Source organism: Homo sapiens, chromosome 8, assembly GCF_000001405.40.
Source record: "Homo sapiens chromosome 8, GRCh38.p14 Primary Assembly".
In the NCBI taxonomy this organism is placed as follows: domain Eukaryota; kingdom Metazoa; phylum Chordata; class Mammalia; order Primates; family Hominidae; genus Homo; species Homo sapiens.
Window position 1 is genome coordinate 84,397,705 of NC_000008.11, and position 25,192 is coordinate 84,422,896.

At 34.8% G+C, this 25,192-nt stretch overlaps 1 protein-coding gene across 55 annotated transcripts in view; it reads left to right on the top strand.

Moving 5' to 3' along the window:
* The window catches only part of RALYL (RALY RNA binding protein like), a 739,058-nt gene that overhangs the window by 214,918 nt on the left and 498,948 nt on the right, over window positions 1-25,192 (top strand). For 2 of the 55 annotated variants that reach the window (NM_001354308.2, XM_024447065.2), the window contains exons 1-2: window positions 17,780-18,313; window positions 20,241-20,373. The exons of the other annotated variants lie outside the window; for them this stretch is intronic. The gene's annotated coding sequence lies outside the window, so the exon portion shown is untranslated. Of the gene's footprint in view, window positions 1-17,779; window positions 18,314-20,240; window positions 20,374-25,192 lie in introns of those variants that run through there. 55 annotated transcript variants of the gene reach the window in all.

Sequence of the window (25,192 nt, forward strand, 5' to 3'; positions counted from 1 at the left end):
GTGTTTCTTCAACTGTCACACATTCAAAGAGCCCCTCCTGGTAATCTGTGTGATCATGTTCTTGCATCAGTCGCAGACAAGCAAAAAGCTGAACTCAGTACTGCACCTCCTGTTTTCTGGGAGTATTTAATTTTAAGAGAGACCCATACTTCCTTTTATAAGGTGAAGGGAAAAGCTGTAATAGCTTCTTTGCCATTAGTTTTGAAACTCTAGAGTTCATTAAAACTCCCTTTGGCTTTCTTCACTGCCATCTTTCTTTCTTCTTATGAATTATTCAAGACAAATTTCACTTGAGGTAAATAGTTTGATTTGAAGGTTTTTGTATCTGGATTTAGATGCAACAAGAAGTGTTAAATGCTCAGAATTTTAAGTGTAGAGAATGGCACAGACTCAGCTATTAAGATGGAAGACATTTGCTGTTAATGTTCCAGGGCTGCTGTTGCGACTTCAGCTTGGTACTATTATTCATTCTGAAGTAGGCAGGCATTATGATGCCTGCAGTATAAATCAGATTTTACAGAGAGCTTGATCCGCAAGCACTTTGAACATTCCATCCACTTCTCAGTTAACAGAACATTTTTTGGTTTTACAAGGTAAAGTTTCTTTTTTTTTTATCCTTGCCAATACATTATTAATCTCTTTTTTTCATATATTGTATACCAAACCACAAAACAGTTTTAGACTATACATGTCTCTTGAATAAAGCGAAATTGTAAGTTTTGAAAGTTTCTTCTTTCAATAAATATTGTGAAAGATAAGAGGACCTAGAAAATATTTCATTTTTATAAAACTCAACGTAAGACCCTTTCTTCTTTCACAGTAGTAATATCTTTTCTAGATATTGTGTCATAATTTTAATCTTTTAAACACTTAGCTCATGGAGTCACACACCTGGAAAAATGATACATGGAACATATGTCTGAAAACTACCTTATTTTGGAACTTAAGAATTGGTTCAATGAATGTACCACATTTAAAAACCAATCCAGGCCAGTGCAGTGGCTCCCACCTGTAATCCCATCACTTTGGAAGGCCAAAGCGGGTCGATCACCTGAGGTCAGGAGTTTGAGACCAGCTTGACCAATATGGTGAAACCCCATCTCTACTAAAAATACAAAAATTAGCCAGGTGTGTTGGCATGCGCCCGTAGTCCCAGCTACTCGGGAGGCTGAGACAGGAGAATTGCTTGAATCCAGGAGGCAGAGGTGGCAGTGAGCCAAGATCTCACCACTGCACTTCAGCCTGGGCAATAGAGTGAGACTCTGTCTCAAAAAAAAAAAAAAAAAAAGAACTATGCAAAGAAATCTTATTATAGTTTTGTCTGCTACTAAAATTCACTTTCCTAATGTCAGTTTCTATTAAAGTTGCCTAGATAAAATTATGTTTATGAAATTATGCCCAGGTAGTACTGCTTTCAGGCAAAGCATTTCATTCCCGTTTCCTGCTCTAACACAATATCACAAGCAGCAGGAGTTTCATTACTAAAGAATAATAAAAAACATTTATTAATTGCTATATGATAGAACATGTGCTAAGTACTTTACATGCATCACCTAAGTTAATGCTCACAATGAGTCTTAGAAATAGTTTCTGTTAGTGCCCCCATTTTATAGCTAGACAGTTACATGGAGAGCACAGTCTTGTAATCCCTCTGTAGGACATCAGAATCCATGTCCTTAAAGACTACCAATAAGTGCAAACTCAAAATGTACAGGAACATAGATTTATGAAGTTGCCTAGTATAATGCAATATGAAATGGTGGATACTGTAACAAATTGTCAACAATTTACATGCATTTATATTTAAACTACAAATCCAGCAACCAATAATTTATTTGTGGGCTATATTCAGGTTTCAGCCCTCTGGTTTTTAACTCACCACAAAGCCACACTGCTTTCAAAACCGTTCATTTACATGCATAATTATTCCTTTATTTATTTCAATCTTATTCAGATTTTATCAGGCAATGGAAACATGCAGAGAACAGAATTACATTGTAATTACATTGTAATCACAATGTCTTATAACCCTTTCCATGGTAAAGGATTACCCATTAGCCCAGTCATGTAGTTTACCTGTTGTTAGAAGGGAAGAAGGAATTCTCTTCTAAGTCTGAAGGAGACACAGGTTGAGAATCTTTTATCCAAAATGCTTGGGGGCCGGGTGTGGTGGCTCATGCCGTGGGTGGATCACTTGAGGCCAGGAGTTCCAGACCAGCCTGGCCAACATGGCGAAACCCTGTCTCTACTAAAAATAGAAAAATTTGCCAGGCATGGCGGCACATGCCTGTAACCACAGCTACTTAGGAGGCTGAGGCAGGAGAGTCACTCGAACCCAGAGGCAGAGGTTGCAGTGAGTCAAGATCGTGCCACTGCACTTCAGCATGGGTGACAGAGTGAGACTCTGTCTCAAAAAGAAAAAAAAAATGCTTGGGACCAGAAGTGTGTCATTTTTTGGATTTTGGAATATTTGTATATACACAATGAAATATGTTAGGGATGGAACCCAATTCTAAACATAAAATTTATTTATGTTTCGTATACACGTTATACACAGAGTCTGAGGGTAATCTTATACAGTGTTATTAATAATTATGTGTGACCTGTCACTTGAGGTCAGGTGTGGAATTTTCCAAGTGTGGTGTAATGTCAACACTCAAAAATTTTCGGATTTTGGAGCATTTGGAGTGCAGATTTTCAGACTTGGGATGCTCAGCCTGTGCTGGAATTGCAAGAATGTTCAGACTCAAAAGTCAAAGAAAAAGTTGAGTTCTGAAGAGGGCACATTAATTGAAGGGGCCAACAAAATGTATTAAAATTTAGCCTGTAGTGCTCAGTGTCTTATTGCCATGAATATGAGAGTGATGGTGGCTAAGGAAGGGAACTGGAGCCATATTTCTAAATCGGGCTTTATATTTTGTAGGTGATTGTGCCAGCCATAGTGTAAGGCAGACATGAGTCATTTTTCAAGGGACTTGGGATGAAGTGCATGTAAATTTTGGACATGAAAATTTAAGGGCGAAAGAGATGTTTAAATCCTCTAAGGAAAGCTATGGGAAAGCTGTGTAGGCACCATTAGTTTATTTGGATCATGAAGTCCAGGTAAGAGATTTTCATGTTCATGTGTCAAGTAACAAAGATAAGTAGGAAAAGTGTTGTCATGTGTTTTATTATTTAATAAGGAAATACATTTTGTTATGAATGAATACATTTTTTTCTTGGCGTGTTTAATTGGTATTCCTTCTCAAAATGTCCAATGACTCATCAACTTAGTTATGGCAGGCATCTTAATTTGTTAAGTTGCTTAAGTTTTCTGGTTGTTCATTTCCATGAAGCTGTGTGTGGGATTTATAAGCTTTTTCCCCCAATGGATATGCTAATAAAATACAAAGTTTGAAAATCACTGAGACTGATTAATCATATTCCTGTCAGCTCTAAAATTCAGCAGCTCAACAGTCAGTTATGTCAAGGGTGTCCATTATCTGATCATTCTTTCTACTGAAATGTGCTTTCTTTTCTTCTTCTTTTTTTTAATCTTTTCTTCTATTCTGTTACTTTCTATTAAAAAATGAACTTCATTGAATCTTAACTCAATGTTTCAGTGTGGGGAAGGTTTACTCACCATTATGGAACATTTGAAAATATGTAAGAGGCCAGGCGCGATGGCTCACACCTGTAATCCCAGCACTTTGGGAGGCCGAGGCGGGCGGATCACGAGGTCAGGAGATCGAGACCATCTTGGCTTAACACGGTGAAACCCCGTCTCTACTAAAAATACAAAAAATTAGCCGGGCGCGGTGGCGGGCGCCTGTAATCCCAGCTACTCGGGAGGCTGAGGCAGGAGAATGGCATGAACCCGGGAGGCGGAGCTTGCAGTGAGCCCAGATAGCGCCACTGCAGTCCAGCCTGGGCGAAAGAGCTAGACTCTGTCTCAAAAAAAAAAAAAAAAAAAAAAAAAAAAAAAGACCTTACTATTAGCATTTAGTAACCAGTTAGGGATATTGTTAAACATCATGCAGTACATCAGAGAATATTCTTATGTAAAAGATCAATAGCACTGTTTTTGAGACATATTGAAATGGGTTATGACTCTATAGCCTGACAGACATTGCAGTAAAACTTTTTTTTTTTTTCTGATAAGGACTTTAATTTCTGGATTTATTTGGTCATGCTCTCTGCCTCAAGCACCTTTCTAGTTACCCTGTCAAAAATCTTGTTTGCTCTTGAAGGCTTAGTTCAGATCTCATCTCCTTTGTGAAATCACTTGTAACCCTTTCACTTTACTATAAACTCAGAGGTCTCCCTACTTTTTGATGGCCCTTGTATAATCTCTTGAACACAAGCTTGAATAATCTCCAAATGCAATGGCAAATTGAGAAAAATGGTACTGGCTTTTCCATTCTGCTTTCCGTGTGAGTTGTGTAAAAGGGCCAAGACATATCACTTTTGTTTTGTTTTATTTAAATTATTGTTCCTACAGAGAAATAGATGATAAATACTGAAATAATAGTGAGTCATCCTTATACACAAAAACATCACCATAGCAAATATGCTACCTAAGATAAACATGCTGCATAGCTCAACCTAACTTTACTTATTTGTAGTTAATTCACTATAAGAACTCATTGAGAGTACAGCATGAAACTTGTTTTTTAATATCCTTTCTTGCTGATTGTGTCTCAAATCCATAACTTAGATTTTAATATATAGACTACCTGATGATAATAATGGTGTTCTAGAAATAAAGGCAGCTTTCGGAGCTTCTCTTAAAAAAATTAAAGACCGTCTACATGATCAACTACCTACCAGTTAACTGAAACAAGACTGGGTATCACTGGCCCACTGTCCTAGTTCAAACTCAATGAAGGAATCAACACTATTCTAGATCATATTCTTAACACTATGATCTTAGTGTTAAGAAATAGAAAATCCTTGACTCCTGCCATATGTCAGTAGTGAAAATAGACCCTTCCAAGACCATTTCCAATCCTTACCTCTAGAAATTACATGCTGTTTCTGATTTTCAGCACATCTCAAAGAGATTCATATTTCCCTTGAGTTACAGTTGTTGTAGTTTGTAAAAATGTTCCTATTTCTCCATATCCTCTCCAGCACCTGTTGTTTCCTGACTTTTTAATGATCGCCATTCTAACTGGTGTGAGATGGTATCTCATTGTAGTTTTGATTTGCATTTCTCTGATGGCCAGTGATGATGAACATTTTTTCATGTGTCTTTTGGCTGCATAAATGTCTTCATTTGAGAAGTGTCTGTTGATATCTTTTGCCCACTTTTTGATGGGGTTGTTTGTTTTCTTCTTATAAATTTGTTTAAGTTCCTGGTAGATTCTGGATATTAGCCCTTTATCAGATGGATAGATTGCAAAAATTTTCTCCCATTCTGTGGGTTGCCTATTCATTCTGATAGTTTCTTTTTGCTGTGCAGAAGCTCTTTAGTTTAACTAGATCCCATTTGTCAATTTTTGCTTTTGTTGCAATTGCTTTTGATGTTTTAGTTATGAAGTCTTTGCCCATTCCTACGTCCTGAATGGTATTGCCTAGGTTTTCTTCTAGGGTTTTTATGGTTTTACGTATTACATTTAATCTTTAATCCATCTCAAGTTAATTTTTGGATAAGGTGTAAGGAAAGGGTCCAGTTTCAGTTTTCTACATATGGCTAGCCAGTTTTTCCAACATAATTTGTTAAATAGGGAATACTTACCCCATTGCTTGTTTTCGTCAGTTTTGCCAAAGATTAGATGGTTGTAGATGAGTGGTGTTATTTCTGAGGGCTCTGTTCTGTTCCATTGGTCTATATCTCTGTTTTTTTTTTTTTTTTTTTTTTTTTTTTTTAACCAGTACCATGCTGTTTTGGTTACTGTAGCCTTGTAGTATAGTTTGAAGTCAGGTAGCGTGATGCCTCCAGCTTTGTTCTTTTTGCTTAGGATCATCTTGGCTATATGGGCTCTTTTTTGGTTCCATATGAAATTTAAAGTAGTTTTTTTCTAATTCTGTGAAGAAAGTCAGTGATAGCTTGATGGGAATATCATTGAATCTATGAATTACTTTTGGCAGTATGGCATTTTCACAATATTGATTCTTCCTATCCATGAGCATGGAATGTTTTTTCATTTGTGTCATCTCTTATTTCCTTGAGCAGTGGTTTGTAGTTCTCCTTGAAGAGGTCCTTTATATCCACTGTAAGTTGTATTCCTAGGTATTTTATTCTCTTTGTAGCAATTGTGAATGGGAGTTCACTCATTATTTGGCTCTCTGTCTATTATTGGTGTATAGGAATGCTTGTGATTTTTGCACATTGATTTTGTATCCTGAGACTTTGCTGAAGTTGCTTATCAGCTTAAGGAGTTTTGGGTCTGAGACAATAGGGTTTCTAAATATACAAACATGTCATCTCCAAACAGATAATTTGACTTCCTCTCTTCCTATTTGAATACGTTTATTTCTTTCTCTTGCCTGATTGCCCTGGCCAGAACTTACAATATTATGTTAAATAGGAGTCGTGAGAGAGGGCATCCTTGTCTTCTGCTGGTTTTCAAAGGGAATGCTTCCAGCTTTTGCCCATTGAGTATGATATTGGCTGTGGGTTTGTCATAAATAGCTCTTATTATTTTGAGATATGTTCCATCAATACCTAGTTTATTGAGTGTTTTTAGCATGAAGGAGTGTTGAATTTTGTTGAAGGCCTTTTCTGCATCTATTGAGATAATCATGTGGTTTTTGTCATTGGTTCTGTTTATGTGATGGATTACATTTATTGATTTGCGATGTTGAACCAGCCTTGCATCCCAGGGATGAAGCCTACTTGATTGTGGTGGATAAGCTTTTTGATGTGCTGCTGGATTTGGTTTGCCAGTATTTTATTGAGGAATTTTTCCATCGATGTTCATCAGGGATGTTGGCCTGAAATTTTCTTTTTTTGTTGTGTCCCTGCCAGGCTTTGGTATCAGGATGATGCTAGCCTCATAAAAAGAGTTAGGGAGGAGTCTCTCTTTTTCTTTTGCTTGGAAATTTTTAAAAGTAATGGTACCAGCTCCTCTTGGTACCTCTGGTAGAATTCAGCTGTGAATCTGTCTGGTCCAGAAGTTTTTTTTGGCTGGTCAGCTATTAATTACTGCTTCAATTTCAGAACTTGTTATTGGACCTAATAGACATTTATAGAACTCTCCACCCCAAATCAACAGACCATACATTCTTCTCAGCACAACATAACACTTATTCTATAATTGACCACATAATTGGAAATAAAACATTCTTCATCAAATGCAAAAGAGTGAAGATCATAACAAACAGACTGTCAGACCACAGGGTAAGCAAATTAGAACTCAGGATTAAGAAACTCACTGAAAACCACACAACTACATGGAAACTGAACAACCTGCTCCTGAATGACTACTGGGTAAATAATGAAATTAAGGCAGAAATAAAGATGTTTCTTGAAACCAATGATAATAAAGACACAACATACCAGTATCTCTGGAACACAGCTAAAGCAGTGTTTAGAGGGAAATTTATAGCACTAAATGCCCACAGTAGAAAGCAGGAGAGATCTAAAATCCACACCATAACAATTGAAAGAACTAGAGAAGCAAGAGTAAACAAATTCAAAAGCTAGCAGAAGACAAGAAATAATTAAGATCAGAGCATTACTGAAAGATCCAGAGACATGAAAAACCCTTCAAAAATCAATGAATCCAGGAGGTGTTTTTTTGAAAAGATTAACAAAATAGATAGACCACTAGCCAGACTAATAAAGAAGAAAAGAGAGAAGAATCATATAGACACAATAAAAAATGATAAAGGGGATATCACCACTGATCCCACAGAAATACAAACTACTATCAGAGAATACTGTAAACACCTCTATGCAAATAAAGTAGAAAATCTAGAAGAAATTGATAAATTCCTGGACACATATACCCTCTCAAGAGTTACAGTTTTAAAGATGACTTTGATTTTCAAGTTTTAACAAGAGAATAGAATTGTTTCTTCAAATACACTAATATATTTTTGTAGGATATTACATAAAACTGTAGATAAGGATGTGTCTAAATAAATTCATGCTTAATTTTTAATCAGTTTAATAATCTAGATATTTTCATTCTTTTTTTTTTTTTTTTTTTTGAGACAGAGTCTTGCTCTGTCACCCAGGCTCAGTGGCACGATCTCGGCTCACTGCAAGCTCTGCCTCCCGGGTTCACGCCATTCGCCTGCCTCAGCCTCCCAATATTTTCATTCTTAATGGATAATTACCATAATCTAGAAAAACAATGCAAGACAATTGCAGACTTTTGTTAAATATGAAAAAGCAAGGTAATTCTGTACCATTTCATACCTAAAGTAAAAAAAAAAAAAAAGAATAACAAAAAGTTAACTGTACCACCTATTTTTATTCTAAATATGGAGCATAGTATTTTATTTAAGTAAGGAACTGTTATATGTATGCTTACATTTCCTAAGACATCTTCAGAGCATTACTTTTTTCATGTTCTTAAATGGCTATACAAGTAGTGTAAATGTTCAATAGCCAGAATTCTGTATGTAATATATCTAAGTGTTATATATGTATGCATATCTAAGTGCTTATTCTCTTTCCAGAGAGATTATGAATTTTCAGGATTTAGGAAGTCCAGTTATATTGCCTCTTGTGACCTTGGGTTGTACACCCACTTTGAAAATCAGTTTGGCAATATGAAGCCATATGGGAGTAGTGATGAAAAATAAATGGAGAAAAAACCCTATCTTCTGCTTGGTTTACTACCTAACATTTGGGAATATAATATTAGGTAAATATATTCAAATATATTGTGGATCAGAAAGTGCTGGGTAAGTGGAAAATAAGAGGTGGCACTTCTGGGCATTTTCTTTTGATATAACCATTTTGAATAAACCATTTACACAAACATACGCATACAACCTCTTACCTAGGAACATCAAAACTGAATATTTAAATTATGTAGTCAGGAAACATTTCGACTACCATGGGCCCTAGGAGTCTAAGGCATGTTGAAATGAATAAAATACCAATACTTTCTGGAAGCATTAAGGAACCTCATGCATTCAGTATTTGCTGGAATTTGTCCTTTTGGCATTGAAAAGAGATAATGGGTGATTACACTGTCAAAACTTCTAATTCTCAAATATAATCTTCAAAGGAGTGCCTGTGCAGACATAGGCAGAATAATTTTAATGGACCTTGAAGCATCTGGAAACATAGAAAGAAACCTTGCATAGCAACACAGGAACATTGCTGATATTTTTGTTTGTTCTCTCTCTCTCTCCCTCTCTCTCTCTCTCTCTATATATATATATATATACACACACACACTCACACACACACACACACACAAACACACACACACACACAAGAATATATTCTGTGTGGTCTTGAATGAGCTATTCAAAGTCTCCATCTGTCATTTCCATATCTATGGAATGGAAGTAATTATGATGATACAGCATGGGTTTAGTTTGAGTGTGAAATCAGGCACTGCATAAATGGCACGCAAAAGAGTGCCTGGCAAATGATAAGTACTCAATACTTGTGTTGGGAAGACCACACCACTACATAGCTTCCTGCCTTTCCTCATCATGGGGAATAGTTCCATATTTAAGAGAATATGAAAGCAGTGAACAGTATCTTATTTTGAAAAAACTTTTCATTATGACAGATTTCAAACATGCAAAAGTAGAGACAATGAGTGAATGAAGGAATCCCCATGTGTCTATCATTCTTATTCAATTATCAACAATTATCAGTATCTACAGTGTTAAGATAAATAATTTGCAAAGGTAGTGAAAATACCTTGGCTCAAAACTGAACATGTTCAGAACCCCATATACTTTACATATCTCTTGAGGTAATAGATTTCCCTATGTCTCTGTAACAAATAAATATATTTACCTATATTCTGTTGTTAGATAGATGGGTTTGAGGAAAACAAATTCACTAAATGCAGAATCAACTTTTACAAGAAAAAGAAATTATAAATGAAAAGCTTTTAAAATTGGTTCAGTTTGCAAAACTGATACTAAGAAAATATGTCAATACATTTTTCATCAGAATAATAATATTAGCTAAAATCATAGATTGCTTCTATGAAACAGGCTTAGCATCATCTCAATTTTCATAGCAACCCTATTAATTAAGGAACACTCTAATTATCATTATATAGATGAAGAAATTGAGGTTTTGTAAATGTAAACAAATTGTCCAAGGCAAGTGGCAAGACTAGAATATAAATCCAGGGCTGTCTCTAGAGATTATTCGTAACCACTATAACATATCTCAAAACATTTTAGTCATTAGCCTAATAAACCAAGAATAAGAACGCTATGAAACCTTATTTTACTTAAAAAAAAGTTTTTTTAAACTTATTTATTTTAATTATATCTGTAATGATACATTTTATAAAATTTATAAATGTTTAAAATGTCATCCACATGGGATTAAAAGAAAATCATAAATCTCATCAGGGACAAAATGGAAGGAATTTTTTCAGACCATTTTTCTGTTGAACACAATAGAAGTTTAGCTTAAATATGCACTTTAATTACCCCATATTTTGATTCCTTGATTTCAACAAAAAGTTCTGAGGTTACTTAGAAAAAAACCTAGCATACTCTAATGAGATTTTCAGTAAATAGAAAAACTCTGTCATATATGCCATACAAAGACAAATAAGGTTCAAAGTAATAAAATATGTCATCCAGCAAAATCTATGCTACAGATTTAATGATGATGACAATAATTTAGCCAAGGCCAGCTGCTGTACTAATAGACCCCAAATCCTTGTAATGGCACAAAACAACAGAAGCTTCTTTCTTATTTCATATAGCAGCATGGGGTGGATGAATAAGTGTCCATGGACGCTCTCTATGTAGTCATTCAAGAACCCAGGTGGGTTGGGGCTCTTCCATCTTCAACAGCTGGGTTCCTGAATGATTGCATGGAGGAGACAACCATGGACGCTTGTTCATCAGTTCATCACTAGTAGTCATCAGTCAAGAAATCTAAGAATAAGAATGCCATGGAGGCAGGGTTATCAGATAAAATGTAGAACAACAATGCTATATGTAGAACATACTAGCACTAAAATATTATTCTGTATTTACCTGAAATTTAAATTTAACTAGATTTTCCATATTCTGTTTGCTAAATATGGCAGCACTACATGTAACTATGTAAGAAAAAAAAAGAAACTGTGCATTAACCTTTTAAATAAATATTTTTAATAGTATCACCCTTAAATGCTTAGCACAATGCTATAATTAACTTTAGTCATCCTGATATGGAAAAAGTAGTGGGATAATTATCTCTTAATTATGTGACGAGGAAAGAAAATGTAATTTTGACCTCCCCAAGTGGGTAAATGACTAAGATTAGAAGCCATGTCCACTCATTACTAGATCCTGCATAATCTTGCATAAACTAATATCAAATATTTTAACGTTTGAAAGTATGCTAAATGTTTATCAGAGCAGGTGATTTTATTTCATTGAGTTCTCATTTACTCATGTATATGTTAATTTATCTATTATGTATTCAAAATTACTCAAATATTGTATTGAGTGCTCTAGGATAAATATTAATAAGTGAAAATTAACACTAATATATCTCTGATTCTTTGCAATGTGTATAATTAATTACCTGAACTGGACACTATTGAGAGAAAAGGGATGCTTTTAATAATCACTCCAGAACAACAGGGGACAGCTTCTGGAAAACAGGGACAAATAATTATTCTGTTGGTCCACCTGATTTTAAGTTTTCCAATAATAGAATTTCAGAGGAGAGCTATCATAGAGCTCATTTAATATAATTGCACTTTATAGACGAAGAAATCTGAGGCCCAGTGAAAAGAAATAATAATTTCTGTATATTAATGTTTCTCACTTAAGTTTATGACATTTTTTAATGAAGAATGATTGATATGAGACTTTTTCCATCGTATACTCCTCTTGTACTGGACCAAAGATTGTTGTCTTCTAAAACAATACGTACTTCAACTAAGATCCTAAAGACCATAATTAAATCTTAACACATTACCAGGTATCTCTATTTATTCTTTTAGAGCACAAATCCACTTTTTCTAAACCTATTAAGAACTAAGTATGTGTTGCATGAAGTTTTAAAGTAATATTTCATCTTACAATCCAGAAAACTCTTTTATATTCTAATGGCTCTATGATGTTGTAGAACAAATGACATGTCATTATTTGACCGAGAATGGAACTAAACCCAAAAATGGCCCAGCCACAGAATCTTAAAATCTTCTATTAATATGGTCTCTGGTAAATATAATGAGCTGAAACACAACTTCTATGGTATTTTTAGAGATAAACATTATTTTCTCTTGAAATTCTCACAGTATTCTTTTAGTGCTTACATGTCAGATGTAGGTTTTTAATTGTTAAACATGAAAAATACTCTGATAATTTAACTACTCCTAAATTTAAGTGTATATATGCTTTCTTTTTTGTTCACAGTAATGTAGGAGAAGCAGTGTTAAATGATGCTAGGAATCTGTACTCTAGAACCGGATTGCCTAGGTTCAAATTCTGATACAAAAACTCTATGGCTTTTGAAACAAGGCTTACATTTCTAACCAGCCTATTCATCACTGTTCTCATCTGTAAAATGGGATTCATTATGGTAATAACTACATAATCCAGAACAGATAAGTAAATGATTTAATTAATATAAAACAATTATCAGAGTGTATCTGTCATGTATTAGACATAATAAGCGTAAGCTTTCATCAGTATGTTATTTCTTTAAAAAAATCCCTCTTTTCTCTGCCTTATAATTTTTGGATAATTTTTTCCAAATATAAACTGGTAAATTATAAACCAGTTAAAATATCAGGACATTATTGTTTACAATATGTCGTTTTTAAAAACTAATTAAGATCACATTGCAGTGAAGAATGACCCCATTTAATATATATTGACATTATATTTTTGAGCATTTTGTAGATTAAATAAAACAAAAAAAGATTTAATACGAAACATTTTCTATGTTTGATAAAGTTGCATGTATATTATCACTGTTATTTTCTTACCTGTTAAGGAAAATATTACCCCAAATTTAAGTTGGAATTTTAAAAATGCATACTATTAAGAGTGAATAAGAGTTTATATTCTGCTTGAATTCCTGGTTTATGACATACATACAAAATGAGAAAGGAAATAAACTCTAGGATGAATCTTATTTTAGTAAGTTAATGGCCTTTTCACTGAAAGTAGGAAATATTTCTTCTTTCAAAAGCACCCAAGATCAATAAATAATCTTGATTTAGGAAATATGACAATGCAAACTTTTTTCAAAATCTGCTTAAAAATGTAATAAACACCATATCAATGGGAATGTGGTAATAATCAGAACAAATTTTCTCAAAAATATATCTTTTTTTAAGAATGAGCAAATCAAATATTTTGGACTTTATTTTTTCCCATGGTATTATCATTAAGAATATCTACCCCAATGTCTGCTTTCTCCACTTTCATGCCTAAACTACAGAACATCACTGGACAAAATAATAACATCTTGCTGATGGGGTCCACTACCCATGACACTTCAGATTAGCTCTCAGTTGGTGTTTTACAGTATTTTATTTCCTTGTTTTCATTTTCTAGTGACTCCATTTTACAGTTCTTTCAGTGACTTTTCTAAAATTTAACAGTTCTGAGTGTCATCATACTGCTTCTATTCCCTCTCCCTTTAACCAGATGATCTCAAATCCATCAATATGGGGAACATTGAATTCTTTTTACTTTTTTTTTTCCTGGTTTTGTTCTTTAGAAGAACAAGAAGTTCCCTTCAACAGTTTTCAACCAAACATCTGTCTTCAAGTTACATCTTCATCATCTCACCATCCTGAGGATTAAATGTGATAATCTATGTAAAGCACTTAACAAAATATCAGGCACTTAATAATAACTATTATCTATCTTTTCCCCTAGTGAATAGTGGGCAAAGTTTCAACCATTGATTATTTGTTTAAATACTTTTATTTCAGTAAAATTGCTTGCCTTTGAATATATTTTGCCAGTGCTGAAAATCGTCATATGTCTTCTAATATCCAAAAATTACTGAATAAAATAGTGGTTAGGAGCAAAGGGGCAGGGGCCAGACTTCCTAGGCTTAAATGTCACCTTTGCCACTTACAAGCTGTATGACAATTGTCAAAGACTTAAACTTGCCTCTGTATCCTCATTTGGTAAGTTATTTAAAAAAATTATCTCTAGTACAGTAAAGAAGAAGAAGTATGATAATATACACAAAATGCGTAGAACTGCCTGCCACATGCTAAGTACTAACAATACTAGCTGTTATTAATTTTCACTGTGTCTAAAATTCATTATTTCAGCAAATATCTATTGAAACCCTATTGAAAACTAATTGTGATGTGTGATTTTAAAGGACAATGATAATTATATTACTTATTGTCTAGACAGCAAAAAAAAATACAAAGATACAAATCAAAGTACAAATTATATTAAAAGCTATGAGGAAGTGTCAGGTTATCAGAGGGGATGTTATCAAATTTGGAAAATCAGGCAAGCTGAGATTCTTAGAGTTTGTAGGTGCTCATTACAATTTTATTTTATTTTTTCTGATAGTAGTAATAACATATTTTCTGACTATGATAAAAGCCAAAGTGTTATCTATGTTCTTTACGTGAAAGTTCACTTAGATTCTCTTTCTCATATGGATTATAGATTGTCCCTTATTCAGGAAAGCAGGACATTTTTTGGTCTGAAGAGATTTCCCTCTGGGTTTCATTTGTATCAAAAGTGAATTGTGAATCCCAAAGGCATTCACATTGTAAGATGATACTACTAGTTGGGATACTGAGGTTCCATTTTTATTCCTTTAATAGCTTCCTAATTATAGATTCCTTTTCCTTTAATTTCAGCCTCTATATTAATGATAAAACTAATCTGCAATCTCTCTCAAATAACTTTTATGCTAAAAGCAATTAGGTAGATATTTTCTTGGCTCCTTAGAGAGGAAATAGATTTAGATATGCAGAAAGAGCTTTGTCATTAAGGACCCAGGTAACTACGATCCTCTAACAGTTAATGACACAAGGAACTGGGCTCAAGTAGAGACATATAGTTTAAAGTGAAAACATTTTGACCTGAAATTCCAAGGTGCACCTGGTAATTGGTGACCTTAACAAGTGGTTATGACAGCAAAGTCCTACAGTTTGTGGAAGATAGAAAGCAAATTCACTAAAAGGAAAGGTAAGAGGAGGAAGCAAAGAGAAAGAATGCAACAGAGAAGAAGAAAAAAGAATAAAAGTTTTCCCTAATTAAATGCTTACTATCATCCCTTTCTCACTGCTATTTTATAATATTAATTTTATATATTACTAATTAAAAACTATATAATTATATACATAATTAATTTTTTTCTGGTTCTTCAAAATATTTGACTAAATAATTTAGAGGTCTCAAATAAAAATGGTAATTTTAAGACCACTGTGATCAAGTTCTGGAAATTTTTAAAGATCTAGGAACTTTTTAAAGCTTTAATATTTTTTGATTATTTTTATATTTTATACAACATTTTTACTAATTCCAAAGAATTATAAATGACTATTATGTATTTTTATTTGGAAACATTTTGGTTATTTGGGAAAAAGTAGGTGTTAGTCCAGCTATACATTGTATGTTTACTGATGGAGAAAAAAAAAATCCCTCTTGTTATTAGACACTGTTATTTTACTGATACCCAAATTCTATATATTTAGATATGGTTTGGGATGAGCTGTGTAACTTATTTGGACATGTGAACATCTTTCACTATATGTTTTGCATATGAAAAAAATTATCTCACTTTGCCTTTTATTTAATGATTCTTTGAAATATATTCTTTGTATAAACCTTATAAAGTTGTCAAAATTAATTTTCAATTAGAACATCCATAAAAGTGCCAAGTTATTATAACTACTGCCTTATGATTCACTCAAAGTAAAGGATAAATCCATAACATTTTCTATTAATTGAATAGATAATCTTCATTTTACAAATGATTTCCATATAGAATTAGTGTTACGATAGGCAGTTCTTAGTGAAATCAATATCAGCTTATTTCCTATTTTGAGTCATGAACCAAATCATTGTCGTCATCATTAAATCTGTAGCATAGATTTTGCTGGATGATATAATTTATTACTTTGAACCTTATTTGTCTTTGTATGGCATATAAGACAGGGTTTTTCTATTTACTGAAAATCTCATTAGAGTATGCTAGGTTTTTTTCTAAGTAACCTCAGAACTTTTTGTTGAAATCAAGGAATCAAAATATGGGGTAATTAAAGTGCATATTTAAGCTAAACTTCTATTGTGTTCAGCAGAAAAATGGTCTGAAAAAATTCCTTCCATTTTGTCCCTGATGAGATTTATGATTTTTTTAATCCCATGTTGATGACATTTTAAACATTTATAAATTTTCATGAAAACCATTTTCATATCTGTTAATATAAATTACTCTATCAATAATTATTTTTTGTAGCAAAGAAAATTAACAATACTTTGCCATTTTTGTTCACTTTGGCCTCCTCCTGATGTCATTCTTCATTTTATCCACATTTCATTAATGTGCATTTTATAAACTATGCTAAAAATAGCCTCTTTTGACCACATGTGACTGTGACTCAGAAAGTTTACTTGCATCTGTGCTTCAAATGACTAAACATTTTTGGTTTCTATAATGGCAGGTGAAGGGAATTAAAGAAGAGGTAAAGTAAATATTTTAACTGGTGTATAATATGGTTAGATCATCCTGTTTTTGTGCCTTCCACTATGATTTGATTACTTCTAAGATAAATGATTTCGAGCATATTTGACGTGCAAATATATTTAAGATTCAACTATCAACATTTGCTTAGTAATTAAAAATTTAGTTTTTCAAAAAATGCTGAGTGCCATTTTGTAGCTGCAGATGAAATTTCCTAATATCGGGAAATGAATTGTTTTTATTTGTTTGTGTGTCTGTTTGCATTTTCCCATGGCTTGCTGGTGCTTATACTTTATTTTTCCTCAATTATAAAAATATTGTTCTAAAAGAGACCTTAGAGTTCTACACAGCAACCCACTTACACAGCTCAGGAAACATGGGCCAAGAGAGATGAATGTTCTGCTTCTTCAGTGGTTCTTACCCCTGAATGTTTGTGGTAATCATCGGAAGCACTTGAGACCCAAGGTCAGACTTCTACCACTGGCAGCTCTAAAATCCAAGTTCGGGGTGGGTCCTGAATTGTAATTTTTAAAGTCATAGGTCACTGGAATGGTCTGTCAAGGCTGAAAATACCTACTCATGCATTTAGTCTTATAGAAAGGACATAAGGGTTATTGTGATTTCTTACTAGTAGAATTGAAATTAGCATTAAGGCACTTAATACTCCCTTCACTCTAATATTCTGCCTCTGTTTTTTTTTTTTTTTAATGGAAGTTATTCTACTTGCAGACACTCGTTTTTTTTTTTTTGTTTTTTTGTTTTGTTTTGTTTTGTTTTGTTTTTTTGATGGAGGCTCATTCTGTCACCCAGGTTGGAGTGCAACGGTGCAATCTCGGCTCGGCTCACTGCAACCTCCACCTCCCAGGTTCAAGCGATTCTCCTGCCTCAGCCTCCCTAGTAGCTGGGATTACAGGCGCCTGCCACGACGCTTGGCTAATTTTTGTATCTTTAGTAGAGATGGGGTTTTGCCATGTTGGCCATGCTGGTCTGGAACTCCTGACCTTATGATCGACCCGCCTCGGCCTCCCAAAGTGCTGGTATTACAGGCGTGAGCCACCGCGCCCGGCCGACACTCTTGTTCATCCAGAAATCTGGTCACCAGTTTCCTTGCCAGTATCTACCAGCCCATTCTGCAATTCTGACGGAATTATTAAACTCCTCTGTGCCCTAGGGGCACTATTGCCTTATGCACAGATAACATCTAGGAGACACTGGTTTTTTTTTCTGGTATATGTAACAAAAAAGTAACAAAAGCAAATTGCTGAATTGCCGTTACAATAGTACTTAATTAATATGTATGTATAACTGTATATGTGTATATTTATGTACTTAGTGTTTCTGTATTTGTATTGTTTTTATAGGAAATGCACTGATTCTCTAATATTAACACAAATCCTCTTCATTCAATAGGTGTTAAAAATCTCTAACACACTTGTCAGTGCTCTCAGATATGAGTATCTTTTCATTGTCAAGTCGCAGATTCATGTCTGATTTCAGAACTTTGTAAGGCCAGTGAAAGTGAGTGACGAAGGATCATTTAAAGACAAGGTACAAATAGCTTGTAGATATGTTTGTATCATATAAATTTACTGTTTATGTGGCATTTTGAGATCTCTTACCCAATTGACACCCTTTGGCAATGAAAGTGAATCCTTCATTTATCCACTGGTTTTATTTATTCACTATTTTTCATTCATTCAACATTTATTGAGCATTCACTCTGTACCAGATGCAATTCTAAAAGCTGGGAATACAAAAGTAGACAAAAGTATACCTCATTCTGGTCCTCATCACACCTAATAGCTACTGGTCAAGACAGACATTAAATATCATCCAAATAATCATAAAATTTACTGTGGTGAGTGCAATAATCCAGGGATCTAAACTAGTCTGTGCAGGAGTGGAGGTGGATAAAGGCCCAGGGGCAGGTAAGGCTCTCCTGAGAAGGTGGCATTTAGGAAGTAGTAAGTAGGCAAAGAGGCTGAATAATAGTTCCCATATGAAGAGAGAAGAATAAATGAAAAGGTGTTGGCACTTTCAAGGAACTGAAAGAAAAAGAGGGAAACTGGAAAGTGACATTTTTACAAGTATTTGAAACCTTTTTTTTTCATGTGTAAATGTGGGATTACTTTTACCTTTGCAGAAATAATATATTGGATTGTAAGAGTTGTTTTCCTGAAGGTCATCAAAAATTAGAATGGCCATTTTCCTAATTTGTCTTATTATGGCAGTCTCAGTATTAACAACAGGTCCAGCCCTCTTTCAGAAAACAAAATATTAATAGTGACCTTTTTACTCCTAAATGCATTCTAGTTTGGATAGTAAATCTTATGGTTAGCCTATCTAGAATAAAAGAATATACTTTACCCAATTCTTAAAGTTGCAAAGGAAGGAATTCTGGTAAATGCATACATAGGAAAGTGTAGCCTTCTTACTTTTTGTTTTGTATAATGTCTTGGTATAGGGAAAATAAGCTACCAAATAACCAACCAACATTTTAACTTCTCTTATTTTCTTCCTTTTTTCCTTCCTTTTCTTGTTACTTTTCAAAGTGCAAGTAACCAATATTATGGAATGTCTACCTTATGCATGGTGCAGTGCCAGGCAATGGGTATGTAGTAGTTAAATAGGCAGGAATTAGAACAAAAAAAAAAAAAGAGGAAACAAGATGAATTTGAGGGGGTGCTTTGAGAGGGCATGAGAGCAGCTATAATATGTGCTCTGGTTAGGAGAAGAAAAACATAGTATTTTTAAGATACTGTTGGAGACTAGTGACCTTTTCTTAACGTTTAAAAATATAACAAGAGAGTCAGTTTTTTCTGATTCTTCATGTCCTAAGACACAAGAATCTCTTGGGCAAGGTAGGATCCTCCTTGGAGGACAGAAATTAGAAAGTCTGAATCAGAATCCTCAGTATTTGGCAGAGGGAAAGAAGATACTGGGGAAAAGAGCATGGCTTATTTTCTTTTCATGGTGACACTACTTTTCTATTGGGTTGCAACTAAATTTGGGAGGTTGACACAGTATCATAAAAGCAAAGAAAGATATCCAGCCCTATAGTCTTTTTTTTTTTCTTTTATGATGTACCTTCCTAGGTCAACTGAGTTTTGCATATTCCTCATTGCTGGGACTGTAGTCACCTCTCTTTTTATTCTCACTACAATGGGAAATAACTGTCTTCAGATATCAACAGTGTGGATTCCTTTTAGGCTAGATTTCCCACACTTAAATATCCTAGTGTTATATCAGGGACGAGGAGACAAGACAAAGAGACATGCCATTTTCATATTTATATTTTTCCCCTCTCCAATTCTTTATTTTCCCTCCAATTCCAGAAAACTCCTAGCACTTCTCAAATGGGAACATATTAAAATCCTAGCAAGTATTTTAAAAATTCTATTGATAGTCTCAAGGCTTCAGCTTTCGGAAATTAAAATAATTTTGCTTCTCTATTTGGTTCTTCTTTCTTTTTCAGTAAAAGCACCTACTTGAAGACATAGAGATCTTTTCCCCTACTAAGTTGCCCAACAGGAGATGATCAGTTTAAAGAAAATGTGGAAATACAAATTCAATCTGTAATGCATCACCTGGTTTTTTCCAACACACAAGTAATTGACCTCTTTATATTCTGATTTAAGTTCCTAAGTATTTGTGTTTGACAAGATCTGTAGTGTCTGACATAGGGCATCCTCAAACAGCACGGTGCCAAAAAATATGGGGTCAGAATGGTTGGGTTTTAATTGTGACTCTGATAGTTACTGATTACGGAACCTTGGGCACAGTATTTAACTAGTCTATATATCTGCTTCCTCATCTGTAAATTGGAAGTTATTATAAAGCCTTCCATATAGACTTCTTATGGAAATAAAATGAAATAATTCATACGAATACCCTGGCACATATTAGGTACTCAGTGAATGTTAGCTAGTATTACAAATGTCTATGACAATTTAATTAGCATGATGTCTAGAACCGCCATTATTTGATTAGAATTAGTTTAGCAGGAGGATGAAAAAACTGAGAAGGACCCTAAAATGAGTAGCCATGCTGTTTTATTTACTCCTTTCTTTATTTAAGACATGAACAACACTCTAGGTACAGTTTTATATTTTAATGGCTATGTTGTCTTCTCTTCGTCCTTACATGAAATACCCTCACCCTCTCCCCCAGAAAAAAAGAAAAGAATCATTCCATTGTTAGAATGCAGTTTAGAGATTATAAACTCCAAACTCTGTACGTCATTAAAATTTATATTCACTGGGACCTTGAACTTAGTCTTCAACTTTTACATGCAATACCATTAGTTTATTTAAGTTCAGTTGATTCACTGTTTGTCTCCCTCCACAAACCAACCTCTTGCATCAGATGTTCTCCTTAACTTGCTTAGAGGCCTGCCATTTCTTTGGATTTTTTTTTCCATTTTATCACCTGAAACCTCATTTCCATCTTAAGTAGGCCTCCCATGCATTGTCTAAGTATCTCCCTAATAATTCCCAACATTTTCTTGTCCCAACTGCAGCCTAGTTCTCTCTTTAATAGAATTGTTTTACATCCCTCTCTTGTTGCAGATATGATTTCTCTCCAACTCCGTATGTAAAAAAGATAAGGTGAAAAGAGGATATTGTGAGCAACTCAGTTTCCCTTGCCACTTCCCAGATTGGTAGTCCAACCCCTTCTCTGTGTCTATTCCCTCCAGCCATGCTACTATTAATTTATTCTTGTGGTCTCCTTGTATATTCACAGAGGACTTTGCGTTGTGGCTCATAGTCTTCTTGTTCACCATAATTTATGACATCATGAGGGCTCCTTAAGTTTTCTTGAGCCTTTTGGTATTAACGTCTGTCAATCCCATTCTGCTTTAGCAAACTCACTGTCTGCCATCACTTCTGGGTTTTCTTCCTTTGTTTCCTTTGTTCTGCCTGGAACTCACTGCCTTTCCAACATTTTCATTGTCTTTATCCCATTCTGCATCTGTACCATTATCCCTAAAACTTGTCTTCATCTAATAATTTACTTGGCTAGTACTATCCTGAGAAGTCTATTAGAACTGCTACTACAAATTTATGGTCTTAACTTTTTTTTTTTTATTATTATACATTAAGTTTTAGGGTACATGTGCACATTGTGCAGGTTAGTTACATATGTATACATGTGCCATGCTGGTGCACTACACCCACTAACTCGTCATCTAGCATTAGGTATATCTCCCAATGCTGTCCCTCCCCCCTCCCCCCACCCCACAACAGTCCCCAGAGTGTGATATTCCCCTTCCTGTGTCCATGTGATCTCATTGTTCAATTCCCACCTATGAGTGAGAATATGCGGTATTTGTTTTTTGTTCTTGCGATAGTTTACTGAGAATGATGATTTCCAATTTCATCCATGTCCCTACAAAGGACATTAACTCATCATTTTTTATGGCTGCATAGTATTCCATGTTGTATATGTGCCACATTTTCTTAATCCAGTCTATCATTGTTGGACATTTGGGTTGGTTCCAAGTCTTTGCTATTGTGAATAATGCCGCAATAAACATACGTGTGCATGTGTCTTTATAGCAGCATGATTTATAGTCCTTTGGGTATATACCCAGTAATGGGATGGCTGGGTCAAATGGTATTTGTAGTTCTAGATCCCTGAGGAATCGCCACACTGACTTCCACAATGGTTGAACTAGTTTACAGTCCCAGCAACAGTGTAAAAGTGTTCCTATTTCTCCACATCCTCTCCAGCACCTGTTGTTTCCTGACTTTTTAATGATTGCCATTCTAACTGGTGTGAGATGGTATTTCATAGTGGTTTTGATTTGCATTTCTCTGATGGCCACTGATGATGAGCATTTTTTCATGTGTTTTTTGGCTGCATAAATGTCTTCTTTTGAGAAGTGTCTGTTCATGTCCTTCACCCACTTTTTGATGGCGTTGTTTGTTTTTTTCTTGTACATTTGTTTGAGTTCATTGTAGATTCTGGATATTAGCCCTATGTCAGATGAGTTGGTTGCAAAAATTTTCTCCCATGTTGTAGGTTGCCTGTTCACTCTGATGGTAGTTTCTTTTGCTGTGCAGAAGCTCTTTAGTTTAATTAGATCCCATTTGTCAATTTTGTCTTTTGTTGCCATTGCTTTTGGTGTTTTAGACATGAAGTCCTTGCCCATGCCTATGTCCTGAATGGTAATGCCTAGGTTTTCTTCTAGGGTTTTTATGGTTTTAGGTCTAACGTTTAAATCTTTAATCCATCTTGAATTGATTTTTGTATAAGGTGTAAGGGAGGGATCCACTTTCAGCTTCCTACATATGGCTAGCCAGTTTTCCCAGCACCATTTATTAAATAGGGAATCCTTTCCCCATTGCTTGTTTTTCTCAGGTTTGTCAAAGATCAGATAGTTGTAGTTATGCGGCGTTATTTCTGAGGGCTCTGTTCTGTTCCATTGATCTATATCTCTGTTTTGGTACCAGTACCATGCTGTTTTGGTTACTGTAGCCTTGTAGTATAGTTTGAAGTCAGGTAGTGTGATGCCTCCAGCTTTGTTCTTTTGGCTTAGGATTGACTTGGCAATGCGGGCTCTTTTTTGGTTCCATATGAACTTTAAAGTAGTTTTTTCCAATTCTGTGAAGAAAATCATTGGTAGCTTGATGGGGATGGCATTGAATCTGTAAATTACCTTGGGCAGTATGGCCATTTTCACGATATTGATTCTTCCTACCCATCAGCATGGAATGTTCTTCCATTTGTTTGTATCCTCTTTTATTTCCTTGAGCAGTGGTTTGTAGTTCTCCTTGAAGAGGTCCTTCACATCCCTTGTAAGTTGGATTCCTAGGTATTTTATTCTCTTTGAAGCAATTGTGAATGGGAGTTCACTCATGATTTGGCTCTCTGTTTGTCTGTTGTTGGTGTATAAGAATGCTTGTGATTTTTGTACATTGATTTTGTATCCTGAGACTTTGCTGAAGTTGCTTATCAGCTTAAGGAGATTTTGGGCTGAGACAATGGGGTTTTCTAGATATACAATCATGTCATCTGCCAACAGGGACAATTTGACTTCCTCTTTTCCTAATTGAATACCCTTTATTTCCTTCTCCTGCCTAATTGCCCTGGCCAGAACTTCCAACACTATGTTGAATAGGAGTGGTGAGAGAGGGCATCCCTGTCTTGTGCCAGTTTTCAAAGGGAATGCTTCCAGGTTTTGCCCATTCAGTATGATATTGGCTGTGGGTTTGTCATAGATAGCTCTTATTATTTTGAAATACGTCCCATCAATACCTAATTTATTGAGAGTTTTTAGCATGATGGGTTGTTGAATTTTGTCAAAGGCTTTTTCTGCATCTATTGAGATAATCATGTGGTTTTTGTCTTTGGCTCTGTTTATATGCTGGATTACATTTCTTGATTTGCGTATATTGAACCAGCCTTGCATCCCAGGGATGAAGCCCACTTGATCATGGTGGATAAGCTTTTTGATGTGCTGCTGGATTCGGTTTGCCAGTATTTTATTGAGGATTTTTGCATCAATTTTCATCAAGGTTATTGGTCTAAAATTCTCTTTTTTGGTTGTGTCTCTGCCTGACTTTGGTATCAGGATGATGCTGGCCTCATAAAATGAGTTAGGGAGGATTCCCTCTTTTTCTATTGATTGGAATAGTTTCAGAAGGAATGGTACCAGTTCCTCCTTGTACCTCTGGTAGAATTCGGCTGTGAATCTATCTGGTCCTGGACTCTTTTTGGTTGGTAAACTATTGATTATTGCCACAATTTCAGCTCCTGTTATTGGTCTATTCAGAGATTCAACTTCTTCCTGGTTTAGTCTTGGGAGAGTGTATGTGTCGAGGAATTTATCCATTTCTTCTAGATTTTCTAGTTTATTTGCGTAGAGGTGTTTGTAGTATTCTCTGATGGTAGTTTGTATTTCTGTGGGATCGGTGGTGATATCCCCTTTATCATTTTTTATTATGTCTATTTGATTCTTCTCTCTTTTTTTCTTTATTAGTCTTGCTAGCGGTCTATCAATTTTGTTGATCCTTTCAAAAAACCAGCTCCTGGATTCATTGATTTTTTGAAGGGTTTTTTGTGTCTCTATTTCCTTCAGTTCTGCTCTGATTTTAGTTATTTCTTGCCTTCTGCTAGCTTTTGAATGTGTTTGCTCTTGCTTTTCTAGTTCTTTTAATTGTGATGTTAGGGTGTCAGTTTTGGATCTTTCCTGCTTTCTCTTGTGGGCATTTAGTGCTATAAATTTCCCTCTACACACTGCTTTGAATGCGTCCCAGAGATTCTGGTATGTTGTGTCTTTGTTCTCATTGGTTTCAAAGAACATCTTTATTTCTGCCTTCATTTCGTTATGTACCCAGTAGTCATTCAGGAGCAGGTTGTTCAGTTTCCATGTAGTTGAGCGGCTTTGAGTGGGATTCTTAATCCTGAGTTCTAGTTTGATTG